Source organism: Homo sapiens, chromosome X, assembly GCF_000001405.40.
Source record: "Homo sapiens chromosome X, GRCh38.p14 Primary Assembly".
Taxonomy (NCBI): Eukaryota; Metazoa; Chordata; class Mammalia; order Primates; family Hominidae; genus Homo; species Homo sapiens.
Window position 1 is genome coordinate 118,145,649 of NC_000023.11, and position 25,424 is coordinate 118,171,072.

Consider the following 25,424-nt stretch of genomic DNA (forward strand, 5'->3'; position numbering starts at 1 on the left):
ACCTCAATAACAATGTGCCCTATGAGCTGTTGGGCCCTAAAGATCACCCTGCTGGTTAGCAACACTCCAGCTAGCTTCTGTATCACTCTGCTTCCTTCCTTCCTGCCTGCCTGAGAGGTAGACCAGAAGGAGATCTGCGATGGGTGGCATCTGTACACTAAAGGTCAAATGATAATCATTTAAGTACTATTATTTCTAACTTGGATCAATAAAAGTGTGGACTTTTATTATTTTATAAATTTAGCCTGCGATTTTACTTTGAGAATTTCTATGTTTACTGTTTTTAATCACTCCTATATGTGAATTTTATCATTTCAGAAAGGTACCCTTTCAGTTTCCAGCTCAGAGAAGGCCAAGGTGCAACCTTCTTCAGTCATCCTGAATCTGGGTTCATCTAACACCAGCTGCCTCATCATGCCACCTAAGTTCAACCCCAATGAGATCTAAGTCATATACATGAGGTGCACTAGTAATGAAGTCGGTGACACATCTGCCCTGGCTCCCAAGATCAGCACCCTGGATCTGTCTCCAGAAAAAGGCTGGATATGACATCACCAAGGGAACTGGTGACCGGAAGGGTCTGAGGATTACAGTGAAACTGACCATCAGAAGAGACAGGCCCAGACTGAGGCAGTACCTTCTGTCTCTGCCCTGGTCATCGAAGCCCTCAAGGGACCAGCAAAAGACAGAAAGAAACAAAAAGCATTAGACACAATGGAAATATCACTTTTGATGAGATTATCAACTTGCTGGACAGGTGTGGCACTGATCTTTAGCCAGAGAACTCTCTGGTACCATTAAAGAGATCCTGGGGACTTCCCAATCTGTGGGCTGCAATGTTGATGGCCGCCACCACTGTCATGACATCATAGAGGACATCAACAGTGGTACAGTGGAATGCCCAGCTAGTTAAGAAGTACGAAGGAAAATATTTCAATAAAGAATCATTTGACAACCAAAAAAAAGGAGGGGGGAGGGCAGATAGTACTCTTGCTCAGACCTTAACAAGATCTAGAAAAATGACAGAATAATCTGCTCCCATCTGTCAGTTAGGTTTCACTGTACTGACAACTTCAGCTAACATCATGGACCATGAAGAAACAAGATGAAAACACACAGGAGGGGAAACCTGAGACTTTTTTTTCTAGGCATGTAATAAATACATACAAATAAAATGCCTCGACGGACCAAAAAACAAGGGAAATGGGATTATGAATGAGCTTTATTTTCCTTCTTATATTTTTCTGTGTTTTTATAAGTGTTCTATAATGATTATATGTTTTTTAAATCAGAAGAAGGCCAGATGAGGTGGCTCATGCCTCTAATCCCGGTACTTTGAAAGACTGAGGCAGGAGGATCAATCGAACTCAGGAGTTCAAGACCAGCCAGCATAGCAAAACCCTGTTTCTACAAAAAATAAAAATAAAAAAAATTAGCTGGGCATGGTGGCACGTTGCTGTAGTCTCAGCTACTTGGGAGGCTGAGGTGGGAGACTTGCTTGAGCCCAGGAGACTTGTTTGAGCCCAGGCTGCAGTGAGCTATGATGGTGCCACTGCACTCCAGGCTGGGTGACAGTGAGACCATCTCTAAAAATGAAAAAAGAAAAGAAAAAAAAAAGATTGTGAAAAAGAAAAGTTCAGAGACACTGAAAATCCTGAAAATCTAACTGTGATTATACTATTTTAATTGTGTAAAGATGCTACTTGATTATTTCTAACTTGGGTCAATAAAAGTCAGTCTCTCCCAATTAGTACTCTTTTTGAGACAAAATTGCAAATTGCACTCTGATCACACAACCATCTGTTGACTTCAGTTTGTCTTGCATTTCATTCACCACCTTGAAATAAGTACCACTTCTAAGATGTTATAAATGAGAGGCTTAGTAAGGGTTAGTGAAGAAAGGAGGAGACCATGGACAGGCGCGGTGGCTCACTCCTGTAATCCCAGCACTTTGGGAAACTGAGGCAGGTGGATCATCTGAGGTCAGGAGTTCAAGACCAGCCTGACCAACACGGAGAAACCCCATCTCTACTAAAAATACAAAATTAGCTGGGCGTGGTGGCACATGCCTGTAATCCCAGCTACTCAGGAGGCCGAGGCAGAAGAATCACTTGAACCCGGGAGGTGGAGGTTGCAGTGAGCCGAGATCACACCATTGCGCTCCAGCCTGGACAAGAGCGAAACTCCCAAAAAGAAAGAAAGAAAGAAAGAGAGAGAGAGAGAGAGAGAGAGAAGGAAGGAAGGAAGGAAGGAAGGAAGGAAGGAAGGAAGGAAGGAAGGAAGGAAGGAAGGAAGGAAAGGAAGGAAGGAAGGAAGGAAGGAAGGAAGGAAAGGAAAGAAGGAAGGAAGGAAGAGGTAGTCCAGCCACACTGCTTGTTTCCACACATTTCAAGTGTGACTACCACCTTCTCACCAACCACCCCTTAACTTTTAGCATATTGACATTCTTTTTTTTTTCAAACAGGGTCTGCTCTGTGGTCCAGGGTGGAGTGCAGTGGTGCAATCTTGGCTCACTGCAACCTCCGCCTCCCAGATTCAAGTGATCCTCCCACGTCAGCCTCCCACATAGCTGGGACTACAGGCGTGCACCACCACACCCAGATAATTTTTGTATTTTTAGTAGAGACGGGGTTTCACCATGTTGGACAGGCTGGTCTTGAACTCCTGACGTCAAGTGATGCGCCCACCTTGGCCTCCCAAAGTGCTGGGATTACAGGCATGAGCCACCACACCCAGCCAACATAGTTGCATAGATCATTTCCTTGCAAATTTAGCTACCATTTGTATAATCCACATTCTTCAACTGCATTCTATAAATGCAAATACATATGAGGAGAAATAAGGAAGTAATTTAATCACACAGGTAAAAAGTCATGGAACAGTTGTAGCTTCCCCATCTTACCTCAGGTCAAGCACTGCATGATACATATACATCCTTTTAGAGATAAGGTTAATTTCCTTTATATGCCTCAAATCTCATTGAATTAGAGAACTATTGTATTGTAGTTTAAAATTAAAGGAATGGAATTGGATGGAATGCAATATCACGGGAAGCACACTGGGCTGATCTCAGTTCTGAGCTCTGCTACCAAGTAAGATTTTGGGTTAAATGTTAAATTAGAAAGTTGAAATAAAAGAACTCCATAGGGCATTTGAGTTCTAAAATTTCATTATTTTTCAGATTCTAAACTGCAAGCATACCACAATATGTTAAGTGACAGCTCTTTGTTAGCAAATAAGTCTTTTTCTCTAGCAGCACCGGGATTTTTGCATGACATCTATAATTCACATCATTCTGGCATCTATCTAAATATTCCTACTAGTGAAACATAAACTGCTTGTAGTCTGTGGCAGATTGGGCATGTAGCTGTATTATCTTCATCTGTGATCCACTTAGGCCTACTTAATTCTACCAGGTGAAGCTGAGTCAATGCTCTGACATGGGTATTCCAAGGTCCACCTAGGTCCTGCCTCTAAAATTAAGCTGGAAAAACACTACCCAGTGCAATTCCAACTCACTATCTAGCACAGACTGAGAGCAACTATGTTACTTCATTTAAAATGAAATAAAACTTTGTAAATTGGCATCATGACGCAATTTTACACAAAGAGTATTGGCCAAGGCCAGGCATGGTGGTTCATGTCTGTAATCCTACACTTTGGCAGGCCAAGGCAGGAGAACTGCTGGAGCCCAGGAGTTCAAGCTTACGGTAAGCTGTGATCCTGCCCCTGCACTCCAGCCTGGGCAACAGAGTGAGACTTTGTCTCTAAAAAAAAAAAAAAAAAAAAGTTTTAAAAAACAATAATCTCACTATACTTCTATTCATAGTTTGCATTACCAATTTTTGGGCCTTATCTATTCTAAGTGGATCACTCCCAAATCTTCATCTCCATCTCCAGTTCAGAATAATCTCCTGAGTTCTAGACTCATATCTCCCACTGCTGAATGGCATCTCTTCTACTTTTCTGTCCATAGACCCCTGAGACTCAACATACTCCAAAATGAACTCATCATCTCCTGCCTCTGTTCCTTAAATCTACTCCTCTTCCTGTGTCTATGATCTCTGAGGACAGCAATGCATTCATCTTGGGGACTTGGGTTTTAAACTTCAGCACATCATCTTTGACTCCCCTTTCTCATAAGTAATCAGTTGTCATGCTCTGTCAAGTCATGTCAATCTGCCCCTCAGCATCTCTGTCATCCATCTTCTCCCCGTATCCACTGCCCTATCCTCTAGTTAGGCACTATTCTCCCTAATTCTAGTCTCCAATTTCTCCCCATCAATCCATCTCTCACATTGCTGCCAAATAAACTTTCCAGATGCACAGATATAAGATTTATATTCCCCAACCCCAAAACTTTCAGAGGCCCCCAATTCCTATAGAATATTGGTTTTCAGACATTTTTATTTTTCAAAATCAAATGAATGCTATCTTAGACAAAAACCTGTCACAGAACTCCGGTGTATAAAACACAAAAAAGTGATATCTTATTGAAACTGCCATTGCAGGTTTGTGGCTGAGACAGTGAAAGAGATCTGACCTAACCAACTCCATCTTGCTTCTGGCCTCCAAGCTGTCCTTGTTCATTCCTGGGTGTAGGCTGAAATAACTTTGGGAGGAACTTAGTTTACAGTATATAGTTTAAAACAAAGATGATAATAGCCCTTTCCCAAAACAAACCTCCTTGCCTGTGGACTAGACTGTCTTTGTAGGACTAACAAATTAGCCACAGAATTACAAGTTATGGTTTAGGAGTCACGCAGCTGAAGGCTACAAGATTCTGACCCTCCCTAAACTGCTCCTAAGATCAGTGCTTGAGATATTTTGCAGACCCTGCACTTGATGGATCAGCTGATACCACCCAGATCAATAAACTGGCTCATCTGATCTTGTGTCCCCCACCCAGCAACTGACTCAGCAAGAGAGGACAGCTTCAACTTCCCATGATTTCATCTCTGACCCAACCAATAAGCACTCTTGACTCACTGGCCTTCCCTCACCCACCAAATTATCCTCTGATCCCTGAATACTCAGGGAGACTGAATTGAGTAATGATAAAACTCCAGTCTCAGGCACAGCCAGCTCTGCACGAATTACTCTTTCTCTCTTGCAATTCCCCTGTCTTGAGAAATCGGCTCTGTCTAGGCAGCAGGCAAGGTGAGCCCATTGGGTGATTACATTATTAACATGAATTTCTTTTGTAAGTTAAAAATCATTACATCTATGTATTTTGAAATCAATCAGTGAGAAAAATGGGGCTCTTTTGATAAACACAAAAACCTGAAATCAAGGGCTAGGGAACTACATTCTTATATTAACATCCAATTTGATTCTGTTTTTGCTTTTGTTTTATAATAGAGCTGGGTCTTAGGCTGGAGTGCAATGGCTATTCGCAGGCACTATCATAGCGCACTGCAGCCTGGAGCTCCTGGGCTTAAGCAATCCTCAATCTCCCGAGTGGCTGCAACTACAGGTATGCCCCACCATGCCCCACTTATTTCTGTTTTTTTATTTTGGTGGTACAGTATTGAGAAAATTCTTACCCATAGATAAGTAGCTGCAAATGCTAACAATTTTAGCAGTTCATCTTGTAAGATACTTTATTTGTACAAGACACTTTACTATAAAGTCTACACAAAATGGGTCAAGAGGTAGCATAATTTTAATTGTCTCTACTATGCTAATTTTTATGTATTTTACATAGTTTTAATTTTATTAGAGTTTGAAAATATATATATATACTTTGAGACAGGATCTGGCTCTGTTGCCCAGGCTCGAGTGCAGTGCCATAATCTGGGCTCACTGCAGCCTCCGTCTCCTGGGCTCAAGCAATGCTGCTGCCTCAGCCTCCCGACTAGCTGGGACTACAGGCACACGCCACCACACCCAACTAATTTTTGTATTTTTTGTAGAGACAGGGTTTTGACATGTTGCTCAGGCTGGCCTCGAACTCCTGAGCTCAAACCATCCACCTGCCTCAGCCTCCCAAAGCACTGGGATTACAGGCATGAGCCACCACGCCGGCCTCACCATATATTTTTAAAGGAGAAATTTAAACCAAGTATCTGTAGACCCCAGAAGCACTTATATAGAATCTTAGAACTCATGAAATGTAATTTGAAACCCTTGCCATAAAAGAATGTGCTTGACGGCCTAGCCTCAATCTATTTTTCTTATCTTATTGTTTTCTATTGCCTTTTACACATATTTTGTAATGAGACAGGGTCTCACTCTGTCACCCAGGCTGGAGTGCAGTGGCTCAATCTCAGCTCACTGCAACCTCCACCTTCCAGGTTCAAGCAACTCTGATGCCTCCGTCTCCAGTGTAGCTGGGACTACAGACATGTCTCACCACGCTTGGCTAATTTTTGCATTTTTTGGTAGAGAAAGCATTTCGCCATGTTGGCCAGGCCAGTCTCGAACTCCTGATCTCAAGTGATTCGCCCGCATTGACCTTCCAAAGTACTGGGATTACAGGCATGAGCCACTGCGCCCGGACCTTTCACACATGCTTAAAAAGAAAGAAAAGTTGTTTTGCTTTTTCTAATTATTGCTGTGAGAATGTATATGTAAGAAAAGAAAATAGTAAAACAGAGAAAAATTCCCCTTAATCCCTAAACCCAAGTATAACTACTATAAATGTTTTAGTGTAATTTCCTTCCTAGTATGATTGATAGTTAGGTTATAGAGAACTATGCCAAGCACTTAAATAGAACTGTGCCAAGCACTTAGATATTATCTCATTAAATACTCACAAACACCCTATTATGCAATTAATTTTATTATTTTCATTTTACATTAAGGAAACAGAGGATAAAATAGGTTGAGTAACTTGCCCAAGGTCACATAGTAAATTGCAGAGCCTGGCTTCACACCAATGTGTCTGACTCCAGAGACTATGTATTTAACCACAACACTGTATGGCTTTCCTTTTCATGCCCTCTTTCACTTACTTTAACTCTGCCCACTTTAATTTACTATTCCTTGAAGACATCTCCCTCTGCTCATGCCATTTCCTTTGCTAGGATTTCCCTTTTCTCCATTTCTGCCTAGTCAAATCCTGCTTGTCATTTAAATGCCACCTACTCCTGAAAGTCTTCTCTAACCCATTTTCAGCTCTCCCTTCTAGAACGCCCAATAATACTCTTTCCTGTACTTTTTCATCTACTCCCTCATCCTGTATCAACCTCCTCCCTTCCCCAGCCTCCCACACTCTAACAAAGACAGCAGGAGTTTACTATATTTGTCAGTGCTGAGTGACTAGTGGCCTTTCTCCAGTTCCCACGCTTTGGACCTGGTGTTGAGCAGTTACTCTAGGATGCAGCTACTGGGATAGAGGGAGGTGGCTTGGTGCTCTGATACTAAGTAAAAACTGGAGCTCCTCTGCACACAAGTCAAGAAAACTGTTCCTTCTGTGATCTTGGCAAAGCCAATCTGCCACTCCTCCCCCCACCCCCCCAACACTGCACCCCTGCTCCCAGGGCTCCCTGTTGCTTTTTTAACTTCTTTTCCCCTCAAGTCTGCCCTTGACATTCCTTTGAAGAGGATTTCCTCTTGATAAGTCATTCATAATGTGCAATAATGCCAGTTTTGTGATCTGTCCTGGGTTCTGCAAGGACAGCCTTGGTGGCTAAACAAATTTTCTTTGCTTTATTTCAAAGTTTTTGTGGCCCTCTAAGGAGGCCATTACAACTGAAAAGCAATGTTCTGGATCTGAGATCATGAAATGTAGTTCCATTGGAACTGTGTTTCTGAGCTTCACAAGTCATCTCTAGGGATCCTTGAAAGAAAGTGCGGACATGTTTATCCAACTCACTTGTTAAGGGTGAAAGCAATGGATTGTCTGTACATATGCCAACTGGAATGCAGCAGCCTCAAGTGACTAGGACTAGAAGCCATGAACCTTCTGGGTGCATGCCATTTGTGGAAAGACAGTTTGCTGATGTATTTCTGATGTATTTCCACATTCTTATTACAGGGATGTGGGAAAATGTCAATCTCCAGCCTGAACTTTGCCTTGAATTCAAGATTTATACATCCAACCGCTTACCAGACATCTTTAACTGGATATAGGACAGACATCTCAAATTTAACATGTCTAAATGAGTTCCTGATATTCCCTCTGCCCCCACCTACCCCACCCCCTAGACACAAACCCTTCTCTTCCCTCAGTCTTCTTATCTCAGCTAAGGGCAACCTCATTCTTCTGATTGCTCAGATCAAAAACTTTAGTGTCTAATGTGGTAATATATTTGGGGAAAAAACAAACCTTAGTGCCATTCTTGTCTCCTCTTTTCTCTTTTCCCTTCCACCTCAAGGTTTTGTACTTGCTCTTCCCTCCACCTGGAAGGCTCTTTCACCAGATCTCCACAAAGCTAGCTCACACACAGTAATCACTCAACAAACATCAAGTGAGTAAATGTTGAATGAATGAAAGATGCCAGATTTGAATGAAGAATGGTTTCACCCTAGTTTAAAACTTTTTAAACTGCTTTCAGAGATTACATGGGGAAGGGACCCAAAGGAGTAAGGTTCTTGACCTCCAATCCCCTGCCTTTACCAGAAAAGACCCAAATCTTACATATTGGTCTTCCATGCCAGCCTTATTTTAAAGGAAACATTACTTGGATAGTATTTTTTGTTTTGTTTTGTTTTGAGATGGAGTCTCGCTCTATCACCCAGGCCAGAGTGCAGTGGTGCAATCTTGGCTCACTGCAACCTCTGCCTCCCGGGTTTAAGTGATTCTCCTGCCTCAGCCTCCCGAGTAGCTGGGAATACAGGTGCGTGCCACCACGCCTGGCTAATTTTCTGTATTTTTAGTAGAGATGGGGTTTCACCATGTTAGCCAGGATGGTCTCAATCTCCTGACCTCGTGATCTGCCCGCCTCAACCTCCCAAAGTGCTGGGATTACAGGCATGAGCCAGCATGCCCAGCCAGTTTGTTTTTTTTTTTTTTTTTGAAAACTACTGCTCTAATTCCAAAGAAATTAGATATCATAACCTCCCCAGGCTAAGAACAATGACCTTGCTTCAAGGGGCTGGATCCACCAGATATTTCCTTTTTTAAAAAATTATTTTCCTCAAGAGACAGGCTCTCACTATGTTGCTCAAGCTGGACTTGAACTCCTGGCCTCAAGTGATCCTCCCATCTTAGCATGTGCCACTGCATCCAGCTATACTAGATACTTTCTAGTTCCATGTTCCTCAAATTGGGATCCTATGATGTGGCTTGGGAGTCCTAGGGAATGCCATGGAATATTAAAATGACACATTTTCCTGAGCAGCAATTTTACCCCAAAATTTGAGAGTAAATAATAATTTTCTATTCAAACAAAGAATGAAGCAGAATAAAAAGTTCTCATATATTTAGACAGTAAAAGACAAGCTTTAACAGAAATTAAGTACTTGCAAGAAGCCACTTTAAACTACTCCTTGACTCGCCAGAGGGTATATACTTTCCCTTACCATTAGAAGAAGTAGAATTATTTGAGAAGCACTATGTCCAGGTAAACTTCTGAACTGTGAGGGGAACAGAGGAGATTAGAAATAAAGAGGTGTCAGGCTAAGTGCAGTGGCTCACACCTATAATCCACGCACTTTGGGAGGCCAAGGCAGGAGGATCACTTGAGCCCAGGAGTTCGAGATCAGTGTGGGCAACATAGCAAGACCCTGTCTCTACAAAAATAAAAAATTAATCAGCTGTAGTGGCATGTTCCTGTGGTCCCAGCTACTCAGGAGACTGAGGTGTGAGCATGGCTCAAGCCCAGGAGTTCAAGGATGCTGTGAGCTATGATGATACCACTGCACTCCAGCCTCGGTGAAAGAGACCTCATTGCTAAAAATAAATAAATAAATAAATAAATAAATAATAAAATAAAAAATACATTTAAAAAAATTTTTAAAGAAAATATGTTTTAGTTGGAGGCCTTAAGAGAATGTAGGCAGAACTACTTCCCCAAAGAAGCCTGGGCCAGCGGAAAGAACAGCAAAACCCTGAAATTGCAGTGAAGCATTTATTTCATTCAATACATACTTACTGAGTACCTACTCCATATTCAGTACTAAAATGTAAAAAGTATAACATGAAAGGTTTTTTTTTTCTTTTTTTGGTCAACCTACTCACCAAACATGGTTTTTTAAACATGAAAATGTTTTTAACAGTTACCACAATTATAGTTATCTAACCAACTAAAAACAGTGCTGGTAGCAATTAGGGACAGTGGAGCTGGCAAATATATGAACATCTTAAGTGTCCCTACTGATTGATAAGTCTGTGAACTCATTGGCTATAATAAGTCTGCATCTAGGAAGCATAATTTTTACTGGCAGCATTTTCCATAGTGGCTCTCATTTATAGTGGGTTCATAATTATTTATTGACTTCTTAGGAAGGAAAGTACCAGAGTCATGGATGAGGGGATGATTGATCTCCACAACTGATCTATGTAGCTCTTCCACAGTCGCAAATAATAAAGATGAAGAGCTCTGGATTGAAAAAAAGAAAGAAACCCCAGCTCTTGTACTAGCTCTGCCACTAAATCACTGTGTCACTTTCCCTCCCTAGGCCTCAGTTTCCTCATCAGTAAAATGAGGACTTTGGTGGATGAGATCTCTCAAATATTCCTTCTAGCTCTGATATTCTATGAGTCTATAAAACCCACATTCATAGCCAAGCCACTCAGTGCATGTACATATCTGAAACAGTTAACAACCACCACCACTGTGTAAGCGAATACGCAGTCAGGGAAAACCCCGTTAAACAAATGGACTTTACTCCATATTCTCATTGTCAACAGAGAGGAGAAAGAGTTCAAATTCCAAGAAACAGCACCACTTCACCCTCCTCCCACCCCATTCCAACACAAGATTATTCTTTAGCACTTCAAAAGTCATATCAGAGATTGTCACAAGTCCAGATCCAATCTACCAAACCCCACTTGGCATGTTGGCAGACGTGGGAAAGCATTGAACGGAATGTGGTCAATTACTATTAAAGATTTAGATATGATCTGGATTTAAATCTACCATGGTCTAAACAAAAAGTTAAGAGAACACAGGCCCACATAGGAAGGTGAGAAAGTCCACATGGGAAAAGAAGTGGATGCCTGCTCAGTCCTTGGCTCCGCTTCAGTTTTCTCTGAGAGCAACAGCATTTCTTTCTAGATGCTGTCTGGCCACACACCCACCTGACCTCATTTCAGGGGTTTAAAGCATTTAGCTTTCAGGTTGGGTTTTTAAAATACTATCAAATAATGAGGGGTCATAGCTAGAGGGCCCTCAGAGAGGAACTAGGCCAGGGCTCCAACTGGTAGCAAGTGGATTGTATTCAGCACGTTTTGTGAGATCAGCATAGATTTAAAGAAATGGTGGATTTAAAAAATATATTTGATAACAGCACAAGCCCTCCTGTTCTTCCAGGTAGTCACCACTCCTGGACTTCCACTGAATAGCCTGGGGCCAAAACACTCTTGAGTTTGAGCTAAGACAGAGACCAGACTTTCCCATGACACCACTGCTGCCCTCTAGTCTCCCTCCCCTTGCAGCCACCAGCCGCTATCCAAAATCAGCTCAAGCCTTCTCTGAGAAGACTCTTAATTTGGGCCTGACAGTACTTCCCCCTGCACTTCCTTCTATACTTTGGCATTGCAACAAATGTGGGAAAGCACTTTCAAGTGGGCCTATGTACTAACCCATGGGTCTTTCTCTCCATTGCAGACAGGGGACCAGTGCAAGCCACGCTGGGGTCAGCAAGGTGTTTCGGTGCTGCCAACAGCCAGAGCTGAAGGTTCGGACAGTCATGCAAACACAGGAGCCTCTGTGTATTTGCAGTTCACTAGAAGGCAGGTCCATCCAAGGAGTTTTAGTTACCAAGATATTGAAAAAGACAAAAATACAAAAAGACCTGGTGACAGAAGGCTGCCGCCTGGAAAGTAAGCAACGTAGTGAGTCACTAAGGTACTTTATTTGGGTTTCTGTAAGAATGTCTGCCATGTGTCCCAGATTGTCCTGGACATTCCCACATTTCAATACTATGTCCTACTGTCAGATCACGTGTCCCAATTTGTTGTTTCAAAAATGTAAGTACTAGGCCGAGACATATATTAGTTCTCCACGAGGAGAACAAGACAGTCCTGACAATATTTATTTGGTGAGGAGATGAACAAAAGTATCTCAGGTTTTTTTCTTTTTCTTCCCCTCAAATTTATTTTTTTTAATAAATAGAGACAGGGTCTCACTCTGTTGCCCAGACTCGAGTGCAGTAGCATGAACACAGCTCACTTCAGCCTCAATCTCCTGGGCTCAAGCGATCCGCTCACCTCAGCCTCCCGAGTAGTTGGAACTGTAGGCACACAGCATCATGCCTAGCTAATTTTTTTTTTGGTGGAGCGGGGAGGAGACAGGGGTCTCATCATCTTGCCTGGGCTGGTTTCAAACTCCTAAACTCAAGTGATCCTCCTGCCTTGGCCTTTCAAAGTGCTGGGAATACAGACACAAGCCACTGCAATGGGCCTCAAACTTCATTTCTTACCTCTAACACAGGCTGGCTTTTATTCCCACTCTCATCTCAAACTAAGACACTAGAATTTGTACGTGGCAGTGATGGAAGCTGGCATAGAAAAGATAAAAATTATAAAATATTATTTAAATCAAATGATGCAAATTGGAGGCCTACAGGCATTGTCTATGTGGTGCACATGGTTTATTGTATCTTTTTTGTAAAAAGTACTAACATTTAAAAAGTGGGAGATTTCACATGAAAATCTATATTTCCATCTTTTCTTGAAAAATCAGAAAGTCAGGCAATACTGAGCCCATATTTTCCTGTGGCAATGATTGGCCAGAGCTGAAAAGAAGCTGCCCCATTAGACCAGACGTGTATTCTCTGTGCATGTGGTGAGGTAGCCACATTCCTTGCCATTCCCTACTGCCTCCTTGACACTGCAGTTGGGTATCAGGAGCCCTTTATCATTGCATTTTGAACTGTTCTTTTCCTTCCAGTAAAGAAGGTGAAATATTTCTCCTATCCATGCCTAACAAAAATAAGAAAACAAAAGATAAATATGGACTCTGTATTTCAAGAAAAAAATGGGGAGAAGAGCATTTTTTACAGAAGTGAAGAATATTACTATATATTCAACATGCAAAACAAATGTGTCTTTCATGAAAATACAATCTGGCTGGCGTCACTCATTTAAATCACCTATCTGCCCTGACAGGCATCTGAGTTGCCACTTCTGCTTTAAATGAACAAATATTAGTCCTAGTGCCCTTTGCAGCTAAGAGGACAGTGCCTACTTAGATTCCAGAATTTTCTTCTGTTCTATTATTTAAACAGATGCTGACTCAGGAAAGTAGGCAATAAAACTCTTTCCTTAGCTGGGCAGGGTAGTGCCCACCTATAGTCTCAGCTACTCAGGAAGCTGAGACAGGAGGAACCCTTGAGCCCAGGAGTTCGAGGCTTCAGTGAGCTATGATCGTTCTACTGCACTCCAGCCTGAGCACTCGAGTGAGACCCTGTCTCTTACAAGAAAAGGAAGGAAGGAGGGAAATCGGAAAGGAAAGGAAAGGGAAGGGAAGGAAAGGGAAGGGAAGGGAAGGGAAGGGAAGGGAAGGGAAGGGAAGGGAAGGGAAGGGAAGGGGAGAGAGAAAGAGAAAGGAGGGAGGGATGGAGGGAGGGAGGAAGGAAGGGAGGGAAGGAGGGAGGGGGGGGGGAGGGAAGGAGGAAGGGAAAGAAAGAAAAAAGGAAAGACCTCTTTCCTTTTAATTTTTTTATTTGTTTACCTTTCCTATGGTGCTGATCCTTTTTATTTAAAATGCCCCAGTTGTGTAGGCATATCTAATCCATTTTAGGATTATCTAATGTATCTAATGCCACAAGGAATACACACACACACACACACACACACACACACACACACCCTCTAGTTGATTTTATCTGTATAATAAACTCTCACTCTGAGAGTGGAATTTAAATGATGCTATGCTGCTCTTTGGTATCTTCCACAATAAGAGGGCACGAAATACTGACAAGGACTGATATACTCCTATACGCTTAATATTTTGCCCAGAACTCTTTTATAGTATATATCATTTTTCTATTACGTATTAGACAGTTTGTAACTCTCCCGTTCAACCTCAAGTTGGCTGAAAATATTATTTGTGTCTAGTTCATCTTGATGTTCTCATGGCACGTAGTACAGAGACTTGCCCTGCGCAGGTACTCAAACTATATTGGATGGATGGATGGATGGATGGATGGATGGATGGATGGATGGATGGAGAATGGATCAATGGATGGATGGATGAGAGAATGAATGACTCTCTCTCATCATCCATCACTGCTTAACCATTTTGTTCTCTTGCTTCATCATTTCTCCTTTGAGGGCCTGTAGGTGGAGTTAAAAATCTGGCTACAAAAGCAAGTGAAGGTAGTAAAGAAAAAATGAGTTTTTCACACTTAGATGAGGCATAAATACAGTTCCTTAGTTCAACACAGATATAGATATATAAGACCATTCAGTCAGTCATGATCAAAGTCACCTGCTACTCTGAGATCTACCTCACCCCAGCAGGCTGTTTCACCAGTAATTTGTCTCTTAGTTCAGCCTCATAATCATCTCCTGTGAACACTAGTTCTAAAAGGCACTGCCTAAAATACTGGGCTCTGTTTCCACCCAACTCTGGCCCAACAACTTACAATACAATTGAGGATATAAATTTTGGAGAGAACATAGTTTGTTGGTATCCAAATTCTGTCCTTTGATTACTTTTAGAGTAGACCATGTTTCAATGCACTATAAAGTTTGCTAACACTAATTATGCTTTTCAATTTTTTATTTATTTTTATTTTTTGAGACAGGGTCTCACTCTGCTGCCCCAACTGGAGTGCAGTGGCGCGATCACAGCTCACTGCAGCCTCAACCTCCTGAGCTGAAGCCATCCTCCACCTCAGCCTCCCAAGTAGATGGGACCACAGATGCATTCCACCACTCCTGGCTATTCTTTTATTTTTTTGTAGAGACAGGGTCTCACTATGTTGCTCAGGCTGGTCATAAACTCCTGGGTTCAAGAAATACTCCTGCCTCCGCCTCACAAAGTGTTGGGATTACAGATATGAGCCACCCTTCCCAGTCATGCTTATTTTTTAAAGATTACCTCTTCTACAGTCATTTTTATTAGTAGTTAGTTCTGCCAGGTATGGATAAAACCATAAGTGGTTACTAAGACTATACCTGGTTTTTATATCTTATTCCTTTCCATCCATTCAAATGGTCCTTGTTCCTATCCACCGAAACATTTACCCTAGATTTATCCTAGACCATAGACCATTATAGCCAGAAACGATTTTAGAGATTGCCTAGTCCAACTCCCTCATTTTACAATGTGTTAGTTCCTTATTGATGCTCTAACAAATTACCACAAACTTAGTGACTTAACACAAATTTACTTTCTTATAGTTCATAAGGCTAGAAGTCCAAAAGCAGTCACACTGGGCTAAAGTCCAAGTGTTGGCAGTGCTGGTTCCTTCTGGAGGCTCTAGGAGAGAACCCTTCTCCTTGACTTTTTCAGCTTCTAGTGATTACCTGTATTCCTTGGCTGGTGGCTCCTTTCTCTATTTTCAAAGCACATCACTCCACCCTCTACTTCCATCATCACACTGCTTCCTCCTCCTCCTCTGAATCCTCTTGCCTCTTTTTGTAATGACCATTGTGATTATACTGGCCTCACCCAGATAATCTAGGCTGATCCCACCATATCGAGATGCTTAATTTAATCACATCTACAATGTCCCTTTTACTGTATAAGGTAACAGTCACATCTTCCAACGATTAGGACATGGACATATTGGAAAGGGGCATTATTCAGCCTACCACAATAAATGAAAAGTTTGGGGTCCAGAAAGGGGTAGTGACCTGGCCCAGGTCAAGTACTCAGTTAGTGGCAGGCAGAGCCTACACTCTAGGTCTCCTGATTTTCCAACCACCATTCACGACACAGCAAATCTTTACAGGGTTAAGCACTTTGTGTCTTCCAAGGTAACAATCAGCTAATCTGATAAACCATCTTGAAATGGCTAGAAAATGATAATCAGGATCCACCTCCCTTTTCCAGCGAATATCTTTTTATTCTAGCATGGCCTTCCAGAGTTACTTTACGGTGAGAATGTCAGAGCAGATCAAGAAGTGGGGGTCACTGGGAGTGACCAGAGGAGAGGTGGGCCAGACTAGACTTCTCAGGATGATCAAAAGTGTTGGAGGCTGAGCTGATTAGCAGTAATGTATAACCTTGTTGAGAATTCTGAAAATTACTTTATACAAGTAGAATATAGAATGTATTACCATCAATATATGAACAAATTCATGAATAGTATATACTCTCTCCTATTGGCATCCATTAAAGATCAGAGAAAATAGACATTTTTCAGCAGGTAACAAAAATAAACACATAAGGGAAATTATAAAGTATATTCATGAACAATGAATCAAATTAGTATAATTAAGCTCTTATCAAAGCAGATGCATTTTTTCTTAATGGTATTAATGAGAGATTTTTTAAAGGATCTTTTGAAATAGAGTAGTATGATGAGCACCATATTCCTAAATAATTTCCTTCACACTTAAGCCGAATCTATAAATTTCATATTCATGACAAGTTGAATTCACCACCTCCTAGCCTGACTGTGAATGAGTGGTTGTGACTTTTCAGAGAGCATAGTAGGAATACTGAAAACTTCACTTTTCATTTATTCTGACACTACATAGAAAGCACAAATTCTACTTACAATAAAGAACCATGACAAAGTAGCACTCCATCTTTTGGTTACAGTCAAATTCACACTAAATATAAAATTATTGATTGCTGCCCAGACATAAGCTACAAAGCATGACTCTAAAGATCAATGAATTTAAATGGCACCAAAACTGTAGTGAACATCTAGTCAGACAATAAATTTAGTATAGTGTATCCCTAACGGGGAATTATCATTAGACTCAATACTTCATCTACGTGGGCAAACATGTCTGTACAGAAACAGTACATTCCTCTCTACAGGCAAGCCATAGAAATCCAGTTTATGTATTCTATTACTAACAAAGAATTCACAATGAAAACAAAAAATAGTCTTTTGAAGAAAATGATGGGACCTCCAAGCAAAACAAAGTCAAACAAATTCGATATCTTCACACATAAGTCTGACTCACAACCATTAGATTCTTATTGTTTCTTCTCCAGGTTAATCAGCTAACATTTAACCCAGTCATTGGAGACACAAGCCCTCCCTCGAGGATGCCAGGTCCTATCCTTGTTCAAACACAAGGCATCTTCTCTTCAGTCACCTAAGCCTGATCTACCAAGGTCCCTGGAGCTGTCAGCCCTTCTTTAACAAGCCTCCTTTCTCTTGCTGTGTGGGGAAAGTTTCCATCCTCTCTAAGTCTCAATTTCCTCATCTGAAAAATGGGGATAAGAAAACAATAAATATCTCATAGATTTATCACGAGAATGAAAGATGTAATTTTAATATAGAGAACCTGGCTGGGTGCTTGCCACACAGTACGTGATTATTAAAAGATAACTAAAAATGATAACAGCAATGACAATTATGAGTTTTCTCCACTTAATTTATATCCACCTGGACAGATGAGATCCTCACACTTGCTGTGTTTCCATCAACTTAGGTACAATAATTCCAATTTTTTCTGCAAGGTCTTTTACTTGGCCAGCCCTATCCCCCACCCCCGACCCCATATCTGGCCTGAACATAAATTCTGGTCAACTGCCAATCTTTACAAATGATGAAATTAATATATCTAAAGCCCACAGTTAGACTGACACAAAATCATGGAATTCTAGAGCTGGAAAGTACCTGAAATATCAATATCACCTAGTCCAAGGTTTCCCAACTTAGATTGTATTGTGGTCCAGGTTAATATTGAAATTCTTTACCTTGGACAGCAGGAATAAGATAGGGAAGGTGAGGAAGGGCAAGGCAAGAGCCAGGAGTTGATTTAAAATGTTGACTTGCTCTATTATGGACTGGCTGTTTGGAAAGATCAATGAAACCCAAACCTCTTCTTATTACAAAGGGAAAATCTAGGAGCCATGCAGGTTAAGAAATTGGCTCCAAATTATACAAAACATTAGTGGCATAGGTTGAATTAGCATCCAAATTTCCTGGTTCCCAATCCAGTGCTCCTTCTTCTATACCATGCTGCTTCTGGGCACATCTTTATATTTGAATAGACTCTATTGAGCTTGAGGCTGTAAAAAATTATTAACATGTCTGGCCTAACAATTTGAGATGTGTATACACACCATTAAGGGTCTTTTAAGCAGCCAGGCCCTCCCCAAAAGGATACATTCTCAACTGTTTGCCTTGTCTGCACCAGGGCTCCAGCTCTTTTCACCTCTAAACTATACTGGCTGCTGGCTCTGCTACTCATCATATTCTGTATCCACCTAGCCCTTTACAGCTACATAATGTTATTTTCCTCCTGGTAATAATCTGTGGTATCTGGCCCTCGGTAACTATTCAGTGTGGAATTGCAGACTAATGGATCAAATGAGTAACTACAACTTTGCCTCTCTGTATTGACAATGGAGCCTCATGCATCCTTGGATAGCAACCAATTTAGATTGACCCAATTCTCAGGACCTTCCTACACAACAGCAACTATAGGGGTTGGGAAGTTGAGACTTAGGGAGCTCATTGCTTAGGAAAGGCAAGACTAGTTCACAAGCTGATGACTGATGATGAGTAATACAGCTCTTAAAAAGGATGAGTTCATGTCCTTTGCAGGGACATGGATGAAGCTGGAAACCATCATTCTCAGCAAACTATCACAAGAACAGAAAACCAAACACTGCATGTTCTCACTCATAAGTGGGAGTTGAACAAGAACACATGGACACATGGAGGGGAACATCACACAACGGGGCCTGTTGGGGGGTAAGGGGCTAGGGGAGGGATAGCATTAGGAGAAATACCTAATGTAGGTGACAGGTTGATGGGTGCAGCAAACCACCATGGCACATGTATACCTATGTAACAAAACTGCACATTCTGCACATGTACCCCAGAACTTAAAGTATAATAATAATAATTTTTAAAAGACTGATTTTAAATCCCAGCACTTTGGGAGGCCAAAGTGGGATGATCACTTGAGGCCAAGAATTCAAGATCAGCCTGGGCAATATAGTGAGACTCTGTCTCTACCAAAGAGAGAGAGAGAGAGAGAGAGAGAGACTGGTTTTGATCCTAACGATCTGGTCATGTTTTACTAGAGTTTTTTATAGGTTTAACTTCTGCCTGATTTCTTCTTCATTTTACCTTTCTTCACTGGACAACCTTAGCAGAGTGCCTGGCAAATAGCCGGCAAGCACTCCGCAAAGGTGTAATTAACTCAACTTCCTCTTGCTACTTGAAATCTGCTTCCCAATCTTCTCCAGGACATGTGACTGGGAGTCGTATGGAGTTCAGTTATCCTTAAATTTAAAAGAAAAGGAGGCTGGGTGTGGTGGCTCAATCCTGTAATCCTAGCACTTTGGGAGGCCAAGGCAGGCAGATTGCCTGAGCTCAGGAGTTCGAGACCAGCCTGGGCAACATGGTGAAACTCCGTCTCTACTAAAATCCAAAAAAAAAAAAAAATAGCCAGTCGTGGTGGCATGTGCCTGTAGTCCCAGTTATTCAGGAGGCTGAGGCAGGAGAATTGCTTGAACCCAGGAGGTGGAGGTTGCAGAGCCGAGATCGTGCCACTGCACTCCAGCCTGGCAACAGAGCAAGACTCCATATCAATAAATAAATAAATAAATGCAAAAGAAAGATGGTCTTCAGCATTATGACCTTTGGTATGCTGGATTTTTAGCAGTGCTGACTTTGGTTTTTGCTTTGTTGGCTTGGGGTTTGTATTTTCTCCATTTTCTGATACATATGGCCTTGCCTGCCCTAAGCAGTATAAGTGTAGGAAGCTGCCTGAGTTTTGGCAATCCTTCCCTCCAACCTCAGCCATGACATATACAACATAGTACAGGCAAGATGCTAGCTAAGTGGAGAGCTTTGACAGCTACCAGACTTGGGTTCAATTCTTGGCTCTACCACTTACTTCCCAGCTGTGTGACCTTAAGTTATTTCACTTTTTTGTGCCTAAGATTCCTTATCTATAAAATAAGAATAACAACAATACCTACCAGTGGTATAAGAAAAAAATATACTTGACTCTGTCCCCGGTTCCTGGCACAAAGCTCCTAAAACCCTTGGAATTTCCTGAGTGATAGGAGTGTCTTGTTATTCATAACAAATCTTTTTCAAACAGACCTGGGTTTATTCTATTCAACTGATGCAGGGTAGGACCCCTAGATAGCTTCTGGATGGGAGCTGGTCACAAGAAAGACTAAATGTGACTAGAGTGTTGGAACTTTCAGTCCCACTCCCAGACCTCCAGGGAAGGGAAGAGGGCTGGAAATTATGTTCTATAAAAACTCTTGAAAAAGGAGATCTGGAGAGCTTCTGGGTTGGTTAACATGTTGATGTGCTGGGCAGGAGGGCATGGAAGCTCCATGTAGGCCCCACCCCAGGCCCTCATGTCATTTCTTTCATTTGGCTGTTCCCAAGTTGCATAATAAACCAGTAATCATAAGTAAAATGTTTTCCTGAGTTATTTGAGTTTTTGTTTGTTTGGTTGGTTGGTTGGTTTTTTGTTTTTGTTTTTGTTTTTTTGAGACGGAGTCTCACTCTGTTGCCCAGAGTGCGGGGACACTACATCAGCTCACTGCAACCTCCATCTCCCGGGTTCAAGCGATTCTTGTGTCTCGGCCTCCCGAGTAGCTGGGATTATAGGTACCCGCCACCACACCTGGCTAATTTTTGTATTTTTAGTAGAGACAGGGTTTTGCCATGTTGGCCAGGCTGGTCTCAAACTTATGACCTCAAGTGATCTGCCTGCCTTGGCCTCCCAAAGTGCTGGGATTACAGGAATGAGCCACCGCGCCTGGCCTGAGTTCTGTGAATTATGGAATTATTGAACCTGGGAGGGGTTGTGGGAATCCCTGAATTGGTAGTCAGCTGGGCAGAAGTGTAGGTCATCTGAGAATCCCATTTGTGGCTGGTTTCTGAAGTGGGGGCAGTTTTGTGTGATGAAGCCCTTAAACTGTGAGGTTTGGACTAACTTCAGGTAGCTAGTGTCAGAATTTAATTGAATTGTTGGACACCCAGTTGATGTCCACAGTGAATTGGAGACTTTTTTGTGTGTGTTTGAAAAAATACATCCCGTATTTGCTGTATTTGACACCAGATACAGCTCAATCTTGGCCTCCTCTCCATCTCCACTGAATCTCAGCATGCCTCACAGCTGAGTACATATGGGTTCGACTTAAAAGGCAGAACAAGACACACACAAAAAATAGACTACCTCACAGAGTTGTTGTGAGGATTAAATAAAATAACCTGTGATATACAGATTAGTGATTAATAAAGAACAGCTATTACTATTAGTTGCACGACTGCTTCTTCCATGGTTCCTGAATCATGCCCAGTGTCTTCTGTCAGAACCCCAACCAGGTTGGCTATGACCCTCAGTCCCCATCTAACCCTAACCACTGCTTTTCTTCTTGGACTAGACCTGTCTCTCTCTCTCTCTCTCTCTCTCTCTCTCTCTCTCTCTCTCTCTCTCTCCCTAGCTACTAGCTGAATTCCTGCTGAAATTAGATGGTCATCCATACCCAGCCATCTACCCCAAAGCATGATATTGCCATGTGCCTCAGTCATAGCTCCACCTGTGCTACTAGGCCCAAACCATCAGATGAGACCCTCTGGACATAAATACTTGCCAATTCCAGGTGAAATTTGCCCCATCTCCTCAGATGCTGGGATGTGGATAGCAGGCAACTATCCTTGGATGAGAGCCTTAACTGCTGATTCAGCTCAATCTTGGCCTCCTCCCCATCTCCACTGAATCTCAGCATGCCTCACAGCTGAGTACATATGGGTTTGACTTAAAAGACAGAACAAGACATTCAGGTAATGGTGGTCTCATGACTTTCAGAGTGGCTGACACTAACAAAGATCTTAACGCTAACTTCAAAAAGAATTTAAGACTAAGTACCAATCTTCCTGGGATGTTCAAGGAGGTTACCTTTTGTCTAAAACACAATCGTATTTTTTTCCATGTGATTCACACATTACCAGAGGTCTCTGACTTCCTTTTGAGTGTCTACATATTTCAGCAAAAATTTTTAAATATTACACTTTCTACTAACACCCCCCAGAGAAGAAGTACATAGAAAGGACTATTGAGACCATTATGACTCTCCTGTAACAAGAATCTGCTTGTCTGAGACCACCACAGGAGGCAGAATGAATGGTACTTCTCTGTTGATTTTCTTAAGGATCCTAATCCAATTACCTTCAGTTCTCAAGTCAAAATAAGACTTTCCTGGACAAAGATAGAAGTGAATTCATTCGGACAAGTGAAGTCTGTTGGTTCAAAACCAAACCCCAAACCATCATGCATATGTATCTTTCTTTATATAACAGACTTGTTTCTAAATGTGCTGCACGTGAAAAGGCTTTTTAAAAATAAATTGGCCCACATTTTAAGCACGCCAGAGGAGCTTGCTATTTAAAGGAAACTCTGTCAGACATTTTGTACAGCAAATAACCACCCATTAATTTATTTGCAAAATTTGGATTTCCACACATTGCTTTTACTTTAAGGGAAAAATGGTAACATATTTTCTACCAATTCCCAGAAGTACAAAATCATGACCAGATCATGCCAGAATCTTATCATTTCTGCATTATAGCAACAATCAGCTAGAATTGTCTCAGTTCCTGGTTACTGACACATAGTGCCATAGAATCTCAAAAGGCCTTGACAATCAGGATCCCACTCTACAACAGATCTAAAATAAGCTACCACCCCAGAACCAAGACTACCAAAAAAATGACCAAGCTGGCCACAGAGATATTTTTATGCCTATTCCAAGCACAGATCACAGATCATATACCAGGTAAAGGTACACATTCTAATCAGAGGGATAAATGCTAGAATCATGTGCCAAAAGTGGCACCAAATGTGGCACCCAAGATGGCTGCAGGACACTTACATTCTAGTGCAATCAACAACGTGTGAATGGGCCAACATACACTGGAGTCACTGGTAAACGGCAGCCAAATTTTCCACAGGGGATGTCTGGAAGCCAGGAGGGAGAGAGCAGCAGTCCAATTTAGAATTACTGAGCTGGGGGATATTTAGAAGGAATGAGATGAAGAAAGAGAAGTTTTCTCACCCTTTCCCAGGCAGCCAGCACCTTGTCCCATTTACTGCCCTAAGTTTTTTCTACTTTTTACAACTTCTTTATACTTTTTGATATTTCAGAAGCCACAGGCATCCAAAACCCCACATTTCCTGACAGCTCTCTCTCTCTGCCTGCTTCCAGCTTACCCACCAAACAAACCCTTCAGAGTTTCTCATCTTTGTTAACATGTACAGGACTCAAATGGTAGGATTAATTTCGTCTAATTTAAACAATAATTCACTTTGAATATTTACGTATAGGCTCCTTTCTCCTATCAAGGATTTGGGATAGCTTTCATTTGAAAACAGAAAACAACAGAAGAGAACGATAAACACAACTTTGGGAGTTTTGTGAGACAAGATCTTGCTATATTGCCCAGGCTGGTCTTGAACTCCTGGGCACAAGAGATCCTCCTGCCTCAGCCTCCTGAGTCGCTAGGACTGCAGGCATGTGCCACCGCTCCCAGCCGAAACACAATTCTACAATGGCAATTTTAAGGGGATGGGGTGTAATGAGGGTGGAGAACAAAGCAACATAGTTCAGCTGGGTAGTATTTCTGGTGAATGGACTAAATACAGGGATATAACTTAGAGAATCCTGGGGAATAAGTGGTAAATTTATGCCTTTGACTCTCCCTCTCAAATATCAATTGTCTCAGTCAGTCTTTCACTGAGAGAACAGGGGTGTACTTGAACTGGGCTATAATTGGGGAGATTTCCCTTAGGTGGTAAATAATTAAGTGCCAAACTGAGTGGCAGTCAGTGCTCTCAGAGATCAGAGGCAGAGAGATCACTGGGCACTGTAGCAACTGGGAAAGTTTTCCTGGAGCAAGCCAGAGAAGAGAAGGCTGGAATTCTGCATGCCTGAATGACTTATTTTCCACTACTGTTTCTCAGTGATCATGCCTACCCTCCCAGAAGCTTGGTAAAAAGGGAGCCTGTTTCTCATACAGCTACTCAGCAAATGAACGAACATCCCATCTCATAAAAATTTCAGGAGATTAAATCTAAATCTTTATACCTGATAAGTGAAAACATTTGGCTATTTGGGGTCTAGAGGAGTCAAATGTTGGCGACTATAATTGCATGGCTTTCACTAGGATGGAAGCAACTGCCCCTGAAATGATCTGTTGTCTGTAGCCCGGGAAACTGTGTCTATAACTTGCTCAGGTGCCTTAACTCTTGGCAGAACTGATGTTCAAGAGTCCTGAGGTATGTATGGGGTCATAGGCTGGGTTCCCTACCAAGGTGCATATCTGTCTAAAGACCCTACTTCTCACCCTACCTGATTTGGCCTGCCAGAGACCACACATATTTACACATGTATTCAACACAGCTCTCACCAGAAGGACATCTAATATGTACTAAAAATAATTAAAAATAGGTAACACTTCCATAGCACTTATTGTGTGCCAAGAGCTATTCTAAGCTCATTACATATATTAAATCATTAATCCTCATGAGGTAAATATTGTTATTATTGCCATTTCACAGATGAGAAAACTGAGGCACAGAGAAGTAAAGGGACTCGCCATGAGTTTCACAGTCAATACATGGCAAAGCGGCAATTTCAACCCAAGCTGTCTGGCTTCAGAGTCTTTGCTTTTAACAATTACATTATGCTTTCTGGTCTGTAGAGCAAGAGGCAAAGGACTAACTATCCTGTATTATGCACGTTGGTTCAGATGGCATATAACATATAGCCCAGATAGCAGGGTGATTATCAAAAGAACACATACTAGGCTACCAACTACATGTTATAATTTGAGAAGAGCTGGACAGGATCTCCTGCCCAAAAATCTCTCTCGCCTCCTGCAAAAATACCCCAAATTTCCACCATTAGAAAGTGTCACTTCTCAGCCAGGCGCGGTGGCTCACGCCTGTAATCCCAGCACTTTGGGAGGCCGAGGTGGGTGGTTCACCTGAGGTCAGGAGTGCGAGACCAGCCTGACCAACATGGTGAAACCCTGTCTCTATTAAAAATACAAAAATTAACCAGGCGTGGTGTTGGGCGCCTGTAATCCCAGCTACTCCAGAGGCTGAGACAGGAGAATTGCTTGAACCCAGGAAGAGGAGGTTGCAGTGAGCCGAGATCGTGCCACTACACTCCAGTCTGGGTGACAGAGCAAGT

At 41.9% G+C, this 25,424-nt stretch overlaps 1 pseudogene; it reads left to right on the forward strand.

Moving 5' to 3' along the window:
• Positions 415-913, forward strand: RPL12P43 (ribosomal protein L12 pseudogene 43; annotated as a pseudogene).